A 12,423-nucleotide genomic window follows, 5' to 3' on the forward strand; every position below is an offset into this window, starting at 1 on the left:
GTCAAGTGGAAGAAGAACACAGTGCCAGGAAATCTGGGGGAACTGATAACATTTTATTAAAGGCAAGAAACAACTAAAAGGCAGGCAGCTTCTAATTTAACCTTGAGGGAAGGACACTGTAGTATTTTAAACCTTCTCTATAGCCATAAACTAGATATAACACACACATATACAAATGGATCTGTCTACCAAAATTTAAGAAACAACCTGAATAAAGTGCAAAGGCAATCAATTGTTAAATAGTACTCCTTTAGTCCATCAGGTTTTCAGGTTGTATCACATTTGGCCAGGTTTGTGGGCAGATGGATGATGGGTGTCATTTACAAGTCAAATGAAAACCAGTAATTTTGGATTGTCACATAGGAATACTGATGATTCTCAAATTACCACTCTAGCAGCGAGAACAACTTCTTTTGTCTCCAGCAGCTTTACTGACAGTAAGAAGGGCATCTTCAGTAGTTTCTAGTCTTTTAGCCCTTCAACCAAGCTCTTACCCCTGGCAACATAAATGACTTCAAGCCTTGGAGCTGCAAAATTTCTTTTTTGGTCAGAGTCTCACTCTGTTGCCCAGGCTGAAGTGCAGTGGCAGGATCTCGGCTCACTGCAATCTCTGCCTCCTCAGTTCAAGTGATTCTCTTACCTCAGCCTCCCGAGTAGCTGGGATTACAGGTGCACGCCACCACGCCCGGCTAATTTTTGCATTTTTACTAGAGACTGGGCGGGGGTGGGGGAGTGTGTCTCACCATGTTGGCCAGGCTGGTCTCGAACTCCTGACCTTAAAGGATTCACCTGCCTCGGCCTCCCAAAGTGCAGGGATTACAGGCTTGCACCATTGCGCTGGCCCTAAAGTTTCTTATTTTTTAAAGAAAACAACTTTTGGTAGGGTTATGAATATACTTAGGAGGTTAAAGTGTGAAATGAGGCAGGACTTGGTTAGGTGAAAAGTAGCATCTTATTTTGGGTAATATTATAATTTATGTTTTTTAGACTTCCCTTAGAAATTTTTTTAAAATATACATATGGCATCCTTGAACTCCCTTAAACTCTTTTATTTGTATAAATTTATAGGGTACCAGTACAATTTTATTTCATGCATAAATTGTGTAGATGAACCCAAGTTCTATGTAAATTCTGTGTATGTAGATTTTTCTGGGGAGAGGGTCTAGTTTCTTCATGACCCATAAAAATTTAATAAATACTATCTTAGGGTATAAAGATTATGAATTAAAAGTTTACCAATTGTTATGTTATAAGCAAGGTTAAGGTCAGTGTGGTACAGAACTTTCAAGACAGAATAGGATCATCTGTTTTAAATTTTTTACAGAAAATTGCCACCTTTAATAATGTAAAAACAGTGATTAATCAGGAATGATAAAGCAAGAAATTCTTAGGAAAGCTACAAAATGATAGAATGTATCCAGGGAAGTTATTTCAACTGTGATATTTGGTCTTAAATTCAATTATTATTAGGTAAACTGAGTGAGTTCTACCTTGTTTCTAGAATTTGTAAGTTATTCTGAGTAAAGCCTCTTCCATTGACTTGGCCACATTGCCCACCTTTGATTTTATATTTAATAGTTCTTTCAACTTAGATTGCAAACGATGAGAACTGAGTTTTTAAAACCACTTACAATCTGGAACATTTCCTTTTATTCCTGGTGACCGGGGAATGCAGAGGTGTGGCTGTTATCTCTTTCTGACTGCTGCAGCCCACAGGGAGAGCTAATCATGAAGAATAGTTTTACAGAAACTTGTATGAAATCTTAATTTTATTAGCATGGGCTGGTAAACGCTGATTTTTAGATTGGACAATTCTGCCAGGAGGAATAGCTCAACTCACACATCTGATGCCGCTGGCTTTCAAAACATAAGTGGAATGAAAAAATTATTGCACTGCATATACTGCCTCTGGAACATAATGGAGACAAAAGAGGGCTTAATAGGATGGCTCATTTCAAATGACTAGGTTTCTGCAAAACAAATATAATTTTGAGTTTATTCCCCCTACTGAAAATACTCATACAGTACTCCAAGTTGGTAAAATTTATTCTACATTTAAATTCAGAAAGTCAGAATTTCAGTGTGTATTACAATCCACGGCCATTTCTATTTCTGCTGAAGATTTTCATTGTTCAGCTTCAGATCTCCTTGCATGAAGACTCAGGGTCACAAGAGGAACATGGATCCAAATATTCATTTTGCTCAACTTGTTAGGTCCACTTGCTCCAAAGGACTGAAGATATAGCAATGTACAGAAAGGAAGACTATGGAAACCCATCCACAGCTTGTAAACTCGCCACTATCCTTTATGTTTTGTGCATGAGGAAAGGAACAAATTTGATTCCCCACAACACTTTTTGCTTGTCATTCCGTCTGCAAGGTAAAATCTGGGTTGAAATTCCAAAGTCCAAAGAAGCCTTCTTAACCAAACAAATGCCCTCCAAAAGAAGGAAAATAACATCAGGTCTGATATCAAAGAGGAGTTTTGAGCCTGTAGAGATGAATTCAGAAGACGGAGCTTTCACCCGCCTCCCTGGGCCATGATGGCAGCTCTTCTTAGTAAACAGTGCACCAGTTGCTGCCATCACTTGGCATCAGCCCTCCAGTAATTAGCAAAATAAGGTCAACAAACCACCAAATCCCAAGTCCTCCAAGCGTCAACAGCTTCCCTACTGCAGTGCCAGTGTGTCCCAAACAGAATCGATCCACACCAAAACATCCCAGGAAGAAGGAGTAGAGTAAAGTGGTTATGAAGTAGTGTCCGGTATACCTAGGTGAAAGGAATGAAAAGGAAGATGTTTTACTGCACGAAAATTTAAACCCTTAAGGATTAGTGAATTTAACGTAAGTGATGAGACAGTGCAGTGGACCCTCTGTGGCCTTTTACCCTCCATTTTGTTTTCTTTTATGATATGGTCAGTGAGGTGAGAGGATCAGGAAAAACCAAAGTTTATTATACTCATAGGTCCCAGAGACAGGAGGCACATCATGTTATACAAGGCTACCTGGCAAAGATACCAGGGTGGTTGGAAGATAGAAGGGAGGGGAAGGTTTTTGGCCACTATCTTCATTGGGGTTTCTGCAGGAAAGGCAAGACAGGGCAGGGCGAATAGTTTAGAACTGGCTAGTTTGAATAACCTCAGCAGGCTCTAAGCTATAGGAGTGGTCCCTGGTTGCCTGGCACTTGGACCTGAGAAGACTAAGGCAGAGGAATATTATTTCCTGGGGTGTACAGGCCAGAAACAGAAGATATGTCTCTAGACTAGTTTGCATATCAAAGGCATGCTGCTGGTTGGGCCCTTTGCTATCTCTAAGAAATGACTAGCTTCAGGAAGAGCAGTCTCTTCACAGCCAGAAAGGTTTTTAAGATGTCAAACATCATAATGTACAATAATTTAAAAAACTTTTTGACCATGGTGGTGGCTGATGCCTATAATCCCGGCACTTTGGGAGGCCAAGATGAGAGGACCACTTGAGCCCAGGTGCTCCAGGCCAACCTAGGCAACATAGCGAGACCCTGTTTCTACCAAAAAAAAAAAAAAAAAAAAAAAAAAAGGCCAGGTGTGGTGGAGCACACCTGTAGTCCTAGTTACTCGGGAGGCTGAGGTAGGAGGATCGCTTGAGCCCAGGAGGTCGAGGCTGCAGTGAGCCCTGTTTGTCTGTTTGTGCCATTACACTCCAGCCTGGGCAATGGAACAAGACCCCATCTCCAAAAAAAAAAAAATACGCATTTTTTTATAATACACCCTCTTCACCTTTACTTTACTCTCCTCTAAGAATCTCTAGTTGGTAGAGGGTCTCAACAGAATACTTGCTAAGATATGGAGCATCTCTAAGAACAAATACTGACTTTTGCAGAGTTGGATTGGACAAGAAGTCATCAAGCACATTTGCACAACAGGCACCATGGTAGGAGTAGGAGTCTGGGCTCCCATCCTCCTCTGTAGAGGCTCTTTTCCTGAGACTCAGCTGGCTTCCTGCATGTAGTTCTCTAAGGAAGCACTGTTCTTAAATGAACACTTGATCTCCATACACTCTTTCCTGTTGTTTTGAGCAGCGAAAAGCGAGGACTTCTTCATAAGGCTCTGCCCTTATCCACTGTGCTGACACAGCTGCAGTTACCCTAATATTACTAATCATACTCATAGACTGTTTCCATTAGCAAACTGTACAAGGAAATTCTGTGCCTTCCTTTACCTTAATGATAAACTGATTTTCAGAGTGTGGAGCCTACACTTTTTATAATAAAACCTTTATTCCTGAAATACTAGGGCAATTTGCACAAGATTTATATCTATTGTAGGAATTTTGGGGCTAGATCATCTGGCCCAAAATTCTGTAGATAAGGGATAAACTGAGTGCCCACAGGCACTTAGCAAGTTAGAGAAAGAGACAGTTAGAACTTCACCTTCCGGGCTTAAGTCCAGAGTCCTCTCTACTATAAACATATTGCTTCTGTCAATGAATTATGCACAATGGTAGCCATAGACCCTCTTTGGTGCTTAAAAAAAGTCATATCAAAAAATAACAATGAGCTGAACACAGTGGCATGTGCCTGTTGTCCCAGATACTCGGGAGGCTGAGGCAGGAGGATTGCTTCAGCTCAGGAGGTCCAGGCTGCGATAAGCCATGATTGCACCACTGCACTCCAGCCTGGGTAACAGAGTGAGACCCTGTCTCTTAAAACAAAAAATAAATAAATAAAAAGACAAGGAAAATGGCTCTACCTCCAACCAAGTACCAACTACTCCAATCAAAGTAACACTTACTTTATACAAGGTTTATTTTCTCGTAGAAAGGTCCTAGGACTGGCACACTCAATTCCATCTAAGGCATGGCACTGGACTGAAGTGTGTTCCACGTCGCTGTAGGCCTGACCGCCGAACTGTGGAATAACAACCAAGACCAAAACCAACTCACCAGAGCAAGTGACACAAACATCTATCTTTATATTCACTAATAACAGAATGAAAGCGGCCTCAGGACTACAATTATTCCAACAAGGTTGAGGTACAGCTGTGCTCAAGGGCAAGGAATTTAGTGACACACTTCTGAGTCCATCTTAAAGGTACACTGTCTTAAATAAACTCCTGCTTTCTTCTTCATGACTGGCTTCTTCAATAATATAGTAAAAAAAACCCCCAAACACACTCAGTGTCATTAAAGGCCATTTAGAAGAGATGAACACAATGCTTTACTTATCTTTACTTATAAGCATATGTATATGCTTATACATATTTATATGTATAAGCTTATACATATTTACAGGAAAAAGAGCATATAACTGAGCATTTGGGAGTGGGTATTTAAAAAGTCACTGCCTATTAGAGGTCTCTTTTATATCTATTAAAAATGAATAGAATTAGGAAAGAACTCAGGATATTATCTGACTCAGGACTTTATTTAGGTCATAAATGTGTATTACCTGATATCTGTGGGACACCTGTTAAGTTTAAATTCCAGCCAAAAATTTCAGAACTGGGCCTCTTACCATTGCTTAACTGAATTCTAGCCAAGAAATCACAGATATTCATTTTTTACTGGTACCTTATATCAGTGCTTATTACTATTTTCATTGGCGAGTTCCTCAAAGGGAAGGGACTGGGAAATAAGAATGCTTACAGGATAAACTCAATTTTTAATTAAAATGGGCAAAAGTGATCTCTATACAATATTAACTCAAACTTTAATCAATAATTATCAACAGAGTAAAATTTCATTGTCTTAAATATTTATCTATACATGATTTCAGTAAGAGTTGCCCTTTTAGTCTTATTACTGTCAGGTTTATTCCTCTGTGTCTGATTTAGTACAAAACATGCCTTCCCATCATTCTCTTAACATCTGACCAAATCTTGACTTGCATTATGTGGCATAATAGGATGGCGAGTCCATGGTGGGGAGGAGATACATGAACTTCATTGGTTATTTTGAGAGATTGATTAGGAACTGTACACTCAGCTTTAGGGATATTACTAATAAACCTTAATAGCGTTTTTCCATTCCAAGAAGCCACTGTTAACCAATGGCTTCCGCTGGAACGCTTTAATGTCCTACAAAGACATATACCGGTAGACTCTATCTGTCTCCTACGGACATGGTGGAACCTGTTTGCCTGGAGAAAAGAAATGTCATTGGCAAGAAAAGCTCTGCCCCAAATGCATGTGTAACAAAGATACTGCCCAATCCATCACCAGTGTTGCAAAGTGCACAGACTTCCTTTTGCTCTTTCAGGAAAGGTTCATGCCTTGAAGGAGAGTCAGGGGTGACATTTTAGTTTCAAAATCTGTCAGTGGCCAAAGGAACCAAAGACAGGTTGGTCTTTGCACCTGGGTGGTTTTAGCACAGAGATTGCTCCTTCATAAGGAAACCAAATATCTTGTTCAGTCACTGACCCTGGCCATACTGGAAATTTCCAGTAACGGTCTTTCTGAGGAAATTCTTCAAAAAACTTTGTACCTCTTATACTTTTATGTAATAGCATTCAGACATTCCTATTTCGTTATCGAAGGGTTTGCTCTTACGACAAAACAAAAACTCACCTTGAGACAACCATAACCAAGTTCCTGGGATGCAGTTGCATTTCCAACATGATCCACTGGGTCTTCACATTCTATAAATTCATCAGGTCTGTAATTCACCAGTAAGATCATGATCATCATCATACGGTCTTTGCAAATCGCTGTTTGCATGCACGTAATCAAAACGGGCAAAAGACATTTCTTCATCAAGTTTTCTGGGGTTCGGTTTCACCCTGCTGACCCCTTTCCAAGCCAATTAAACTGAAGCACAGCAGGTCAAACGGACAGCCACCAAAATGAACCTTTTGTTGGAGAAGGGAGGTGTTTCTGGTCCTGTTTCTATAAGGATTCTACTTCTGCCATGGTTTCATCTCTTCAGTAGGCAAACAACAAGATTCTGGGGGCAAAATTTAAGCCAAAGTATTCTCAGTCCTCTTTGCATTTCCCAAATGCCTTTTCTTGTTTGATCAAAAAGAGATGTTAAAAAATGGCGTGATTCTGCAACGGTAAGAATATTGATTGCTTTTTTAAAAGATGCCTTGTAGGCAGAGACAAGTCATTTACTCCATTTATGCCTTACTCAGTACTGGCACCGAATCGACCGACTAATACTCTCCTTGGGCTAAAGGGCGCAGGGCAAAGAAAGCACAACCTTACGCCCTTCTTCCAGAGGCTATATGATGTTACTCCTACCCAGTTTTCCTCTTTGGGGATCTCAAAGCCTCTGTCACTGACACACAAGAGTTTTCTCTGCACGGGCTGTGAGAAACCTGGTTCATGATATTTGCCTCCGGAACGACCTCAGAGAGGCAGGGTCTGAAAAAATGCAGCGTCCCCCCAACCCTGCCTTCCCTTAACACCCATATATTCCTGGCACACCCTCCACGTCCACCCGCCTCGACCACTGGTAGCTTACAGGTAAGAGCAGAGGATGACCGGAGAGTGGGGGTCGCCATATTCCCAGCTCGCAGCACCCCCGGGGCCCTCCGGCTGGGCGGCGCCAGCGGATGTGAGCTCAGGCTCAGCGGTCGCATTTTGCGAGTGGCTCCGAGACACACAATGCAGCAGAAGTAAATTCCCCAGCAGCAAAGCCGCCTGGCCGCACAGAAGTAAGTAACTAACCGGGCAACCACCTAGCACCATCTTCCCGGGCACAGGAGCGGAGACCCGGCCTCAACCACAACCCCAGGCCAGCAGCACAGACCCAAGAACTGCGTGGTCAGGCCTTTCCGCGTAGCCCCGCCCGCGTAGCCCCGCCAAACAGCCAATGGACGCGCAGCTCGACGCTCCGCGCACCTCCGCCAACCAACTAGAAAAGGTCGAGCAGACGGGCGGGGCTACTCCGCCCTCTGCTTCTGCTTCTCGATTCCTCTTCTGGGTCTCATGCTCCTCCTTCTTTTGCGCCGAATGCGTTCTCCAATCGGATCCGTCGACCCCCCTAGGTGGGCGTGCCCGGCAGCCGACGGGGCGGGGCGGATATGACTGGCGGGCCGACTAGTGCTGGTTGCCACCGCCGGTTTAGAAATCCTATTCTCGCGCCGGGGACTGGATTTTTCCCTACGTCAGCGCAGCTAGGCGATGTCGGGAGCGAGCTCGGACCGAGGGCTCAGTTGCGTCAGTGCCGCGCGCGTGCTCGTCGGGCGCGCGTGCTCGTCGGGCGCGCGCGCTTCCCGGCCAGACTTGGGGCCCCGGCAGGGTTGGAAAATGATGGAAGAGGCGGAGGTGGAGGCGACCGAGTGCTGAGAGGAACCTGCGGAATCGGCCGAGATGGGGTCTGGCGCGCGCTTTCCCTCGGGGACCCTTCGTGTCCGGTGGTTGCTGTTGCTTGGCCTGGTGGGCCCAGTCCTCGGTGCGGCGCGGCCAGGTGGGTGTCCGCGCCCCGGGTCGGTTGGGACGGCTGCTTCCTAGGGACGGGGCGCTCGGAGTGAACCTGTGGTGCCTGGGAGTGGAGGGGCCCGGCCTGGGGATCGGACCCGGGGTCGGGGGGCGCGGCCGCTCCAGGTGTGTGCGGACCGGGGTCGCACCCGAGGCGCGGGGTTTGGCGCCCCAAGCCCTTCTTGGCCCGGGTCCTCTGCCCGGCACCGCTTCCTCCGTGTCCTGTTCGATGGAGCCGTTCCCAGCGTCCCCCCATCCCTCGCCGCCTCGCGCGACCCCGGGTCCCCCAGACGCCCCGAAACCCGCTCTGGGGCGGGCGCTGACCTCGGCGGGCCGGAGCCCTGCAGGCTGGGCGCGCCCGCGGGCGTTCAGTCCTCCAAACGCCTGCAGGGAGGGAGCTGGCTCTCGCTCGTGGAGTTAATGTCGCTTGGAAAGAGACTGAGAGATGAAACTTTTGCTGCAGGTTATAATTTGAAATTTTGACGTTCATGGTATCCTTGGGTCAACACAGCTAAATTTAATGGTGGAATAAAGGTGGGTGGGAGGACGCTCATTTCTCTTGGGTCATTTTTGTAGTAAGAATATTTTGTAAACGATGTGCTACCTTTCTATAGCCAAACCATTCTTAAAAAATCTGTGTTTTTATTGGGTTCGTACTGTGTTAAATCCGGACAGATAATCCCTGCTCTTTTGAACTCACAGGATTATTGTAGGAATTAAATCATTTGTGTGAAATCGTTTTTGAATTGTGAAACTGCCCTTGACTATGTAAGATACTTGTATTGGAGATGCCCAAACATAGTGGAAGCAGATTGTCAGCACGCTGGCGTCTTTCTGGAAACAAGTTGTTTATTTTGGATTTTGTATGATATAATTGTTTGCATGGCTGTATTTTCTCTATCAGCGACAGAGGATGATGGAGAATGGGAGTTTTTACTAAATCATTGATTGAAAGTTATTCAAAGGTGATGATAGAAGATTTCAACGCAGGACTGTTGACCTTCAGGAAACTAATTACTTGTTTTTCTTATCTTTGGCTGCTTTATTTGAAATTAAGTAAATTTGCCCCAGTGTGGAAATGTTGAAACTCTGACAATGTTTTGAATGGGAAGTTGCCAAATTTCTTCTGGTTAAAACTACTTTTCCGGTGGTATTCTAGATGGTTAACACTCACCGATGTTTAAGGTGAAGACGATTATACATCCGGAGTTTTATTAATCTGTGATTTTTTTTTGTGTTTGTAAATGTAAATAAGACTGTATTTTTAAATGTTAATATAAATTGTCAGTCATTACCGACCTGCATTAGGTGAGTGGAATATCCTGATGGTCTTTAACTGTGGTTTTGGCCAGCTCCTCACTTCGGCATGTGTATGCCCCTTCAAAGTTTAGCCACCGTTTATGGAACTCCTATAAACACCACACAGTTGATTGTAGAGGGGCAGAAGGTGACCAAATATGCTAAGCGCATCTGAGAGATGTTGGGGAAGATTTTTAGAGAAAATAATATTTGAACTGGGCTACATCGGTGATTTTTCAAGTAGAATAGTAGATACATTCTAAGCAGAGGAAAGTTTTTGCAAGAGTATGGTGGGGCGGGGGGCGTATGAAAGAACATGACTTTTTAGGAAATGATAAAAATGTCAATATGTCTTCATGCAGACTATAAAAGGGAGGGATGGAAGATCAAACTAAGGTAGGTTGTTACCAGTTGGGAAGAGTCTTCTATGCTGAACTAAGGGGTTTGGACTTCACCCCGTAGGAAGTTCTTTGGGCAGTGGAGGTTTTAAGTAGGGGTGCGACCTAATCTCATTTTCTGTTAAGAAAACGGGCAACACGGTGGAGGATAGAATCTAGGAGGGAGAGACTAGAGGCTGGGACACCGGTTAAGAGGCTTTTGTAATAGTGTGCAGTGAGTCAACTCTTGTTTCTCTCGGGGAACGTTCATACAAAATCAGCTGACCACATTTTTGCAGTATAAGGTGTTTAAAACGTGCACTGAAACATTTTCCAGGATCGAAAGAGGAATTTGAGGTACCAGGCACACGTCAGTTACATTAGGAGTTAATTAGGTTTTATAGGATTTTTACTACCTTTTATAACATTGTCTCAATGAGGAAATGCAGTATAATTTCCAAACAGCTAACTTTCAGTAAACTTTTTTTTTTTTTTTAAACTGACAAAGGTAACTGTGTCATTGTAAAAAATAAGCGGAATCAGGTATGAAACCTCTTCTGATTTTCTAAGGTAGTAATTATGAGGAACAGATTTAGAATTTTTTTTTAAACAAAGACTGGCATTCTAAAGAAAATGACTTTGAAAGCTTACTCATGGTGAGTCACTGTAAAATCATTTGTGTAGTAAGAACTTAGGTCCATACTAATCTCGTTTTCAGATGCCAGCAAAATATTTGAATTTGATATGTTTGTGTTTGTGCCGATAGGAGAATGTAGCCTTTTACATTTAAGAATGATTTGGTTTTCAACCTTTTAAGTAAAAAAGAAAGCATATATAATTAAAATATGTACAAACCTAGTTCCTGGTTTCCAAGACAGTTTTCAAAAAGCACTTGAAGCTTTAACTTACCAAATTTATATTTGCTCTTTGTAAAAAATCTGGGTTTATAATAGAATTTATTATGGAATCCCCCAAAAGATGCAAGCTCTAAGTAACTGGAAGCTTTTTCTTGGGAATATCCGCAAGCTCAAACATATGACATAGCCTCATATTTCTTTTTCCTTTTTGGTATGTAACATATACTGGAGGCTTGGAGTCATGCCATCCTTTTGAGTCAGCGCTATGGAACTGCCTCATAAATGAATGCAGTCCTTTTGTATCTCAGTAGCTAATCCCTCACAGTCTTTTTTTTTTTGAGATGGAGTCTTGCTGTGTCGCCCAGGCTGGAGTGCAGTGGCACGATCTCGGCCCACTGCAACCTTCACCTCCCGAGTTCAAGCAATTCTCCTGCCTCAGCCTTATGCCTGGCTAGTTTTTTGTATTTTTAGTAGAGATGGAGTTTCACGGTATTAGCCAGGATGGTCTCGACCTCCTGACCTCGTGATCCGCCCACCTCAGCCTCCCAAAGCGCTGAGACTACAGGCATGAGCCACCGCGCCCCAGCCTCTCTCACAGTCTTTGAATGGGTCTAATGTGGACCCAACTAAAGTTGGGTAGCACAATGTTGTTTGTATATTGAGAGATTATTGTAGTTTATTTTCCATTTCATGTTGTTATTTTAATCAGATTATTTTCCCTAAGTGATCATATGTGGGACACTGCTTGAGTCACATCTTTTTTTTTTCTTTCTGAGAGACAGGGTCTTGCTCTGTTGCCCAGGCTGGAGTGCAGTGGAACAGTCATAGATCACTGTAACCTCGAATTCCTGGGCTGAAGCAATCCTCCTGCCTAAGCCTCCTGAGTAGCTGGGACTGCAGGGGTGTGTCACCATGCTTGGCTAATTAAAAACTTTTTTTGTGTGTGGAGAGGCAATCTTGCTCTGTTGCCCAGGCTGGTCTCGAACTCCTGGGCTCAAGTGTTCCTCCTGCATCAGCCTCCCAAAGTGCTGGGATTACAGGTGTGAACCACCACACCTGGCCTTAAATCACATCTTTTAAGAGTGAGCTAGGGAACCTTAGAAATTAACTTGGTCCGTTTTAAAATATGCAGTTCTGTTTGTATTTATTTATGTTTATGGTAATGTAAGTATTGTGTTACTAAACCTTACTGGAAGAAAAGAAAATGATATCACCCCCAGACATGTTATAATGTAGGGCAGAACTCAAAGGGAATGGGACGTTCCCTTTGATGAATTGTTCTTTTAATGAGATTTTTCATGATTTAAGTCATTTTAGGATGATTTTAACGTCTTCCTTCTAGTAGTGTAGAATCTTCATATGAGTAGACCCCAGGAGAGCCTGATTCTAATCAGTCTTATTGAAAGGCTGAGAATCCTGTTGTGAAGATATCTTGGGCCTAACCTCCCATCCCAGCCACTTAAGAGAAGTGATTAAGCAGTCTGTGGATAGCAA

The 12,423-nt window shown here is 43.2% G+C and overlaps 2 protein-coding genes across 13 annotated transcripts in view, besides 8 other annotated features; one reads left to right on the forward strand and one right to left on the reverse strand.

Annotated features, from left to right (window-relative positions):
* Positions 1-32: 32 nt before the first annotated feature.
* Positions 33-8,215, reverse strand: TM2D2 (TM2 domain containing 2). 6 transcript variants are annotated; one of them, XM_011544667.3, is made up of 4 exons: positions 7,818-8,215; positions 6,543-6,918; positions 4,770-4,885; positions 33-2,770 (listed from the first exon to the last, which is right to left on the reverse strand). In XM_011544667.3, exons 2-4 carry the CDS (start codon positions 6,726-6,728, stop codon positions 2,557-2,559), a joined length of 516 nt encoding a protein of 171 aa, XP_011542969.1. In that variant the 5' UTR covers positions 6,729-6,918; positions 7,818-8,215; the 3' UTR covers positions 33-2,556. The 6 variants fall into 6 exon arrangements, with proteins under 6 accessions (XP_011542969.1, XP_006716471.1, NP_001019552.1 ...); XM_006716408.5 differs by having other exon boundaries at positions 6,543-7,019; NM_001024381.2 differs by lacking the exon at positions 7,818-8,215 and adding an exon at positions 7,644-7,734.
* Positions 6,862-7,384: an enhancer, noted in NCBI's record as "NANOG-H3K27ac-H3K4me1 hESC enhancer chr8:38853156-38853678 (GRCh37/hg19 assembly coordinates)". NCBI's record gives its function as "activates a minimal SCP1, AML or CMV promoter by ChIP-STARR-seq in naive H9 embryonic stem cells {active_cell/tissue: H9 hESC(naive)}" and the evidence as "EXISTENCE:reporter gene assay evidence [ECO:0000049][PMID:30033119]".
* Positions 7,385-7,906: an enhancer, noted in NCBI's record as "NANOG-H3K27ac-H3K4me1 hESC enhancer chr8:38853679-38854200 (GRCh37/hg19 assembly coordinates)". NCBI's record gives its function as "activates a minimal SCP1, AML or CMV promoter by ChIP-STARR-seq in naive H9 embryonic stem cells {active_cell/tissue: H9 hESC(naive)}" and the evidence as "EXISTENCE:reporter gene assay evidence [ECO:0000049][PMID:30033119]".
* Positions 7,385-7,964: a biological region, named in NCBI's record as "NANOG-H3K27ac-H3K4me1 hESC enhancer GRCh37_chr8:38853679-38854200".
* Positions 7,515-7,704: an enhancer, noted in NCBI's record as "active region_27272". NCBI's record gives its function as "activates an Ori minimal core promoter by ATAC-STARR-seq in GM12878 lymphoblastoid cells {active_cell/tissue: GM12878}" and the evidence as "EXISTENCE:reporter gene assay evidence [ECO:0000049][PMID:35858748]".
* Positions 7,865-7,964: an enhancer, noted in NCBI's record as "active region_27273". NCBI's record gives its function as "activates an Ori minimal core promoter by ATAC-STARR-seq in GM12878 lymphoblastoid cells {active_cell/tissue: GM12878}" and the evidence as "EXISTENCE:reporter gene assay evidence [ECO:0000049][PMID:35858748]".
* Positions 8,025-8,074: an enhancer, noted in NCBI's record as "active region_27274". NCBI's record gives its function as "activates an Ori minimal core promoter by ATAC-STARR-seq in GM12878 lymphoblastoid cells {active_cell/tissue: GM12878}" and the evidence as "EXISTENCE:reporter gene assay evidence [ECO:0000049][PMID:35858748]".
* Positions 8,085-8,394: an enhancer, noted in NCBI's record as "active region_27275". NCBI's record gives its function as "activates an Ori minimal core promoter by ATAC-STARR-seq in GM12878 lymphoblastoid cells {active_cell/tissue: GM12878}" and the evidence as "EXISTENCE:reporter gene assay evidence [ECO:0000049][PMID:35858748]".
* ADAM9 (ADAM metallopeptidase domain 9) overlaps positions 8,198-12,423 on the forward strand; it is a 108,289-nt gene continuing 104,063 nt past the window's right edge. For 6 of the 7 annotated variants that reach the window (NR_027638.2, NR_027878.2, NR_027639.2 and 3 more), the window contains exon 1: positions 8,198-8,385. Coding sequence is in view for 3 of the 7 variants with exons in the window: in NM_003816.3 (NP_003807.1) it covers positions 8,289-8,385 (97 nt within the window). In the remaining 4 variants the exon portion in view is untranslated. Of the gene's footprint in view, positions 8,386-8,766; positions 8,860-12,423 lie in introns of those variants that run through there. The other variant, XM_011544682.3, reaches the window with a different exon arrangement.
* Positions 8,405-8,834: a silencer, noted in NCBI's record as "silent region_19140". NCBI's record gives its function as "represses an Ori minimal core promoter by ATAC-STARR-seq in GM12878 lymphoblastoid cells {active_cell/tissue: GM12878}" and the evidence as "EXISTENCE:reporter gene assay evidence [ECO:0000049][PMID:35858748]".

The sequence above is a fragment of the Homo sapiens genome, chromosome 8 (genome assembly GCF_000001405.40).
Source record: "Homo sapiens chromosome 8, GRCh38.p14 Primary Assembly".
NCBI classification, from domain to species: Eukaryota; Metazoa; Chordata; class Mammalia; order Primates; family Hominidae; genus Homo; species Homo sapiens.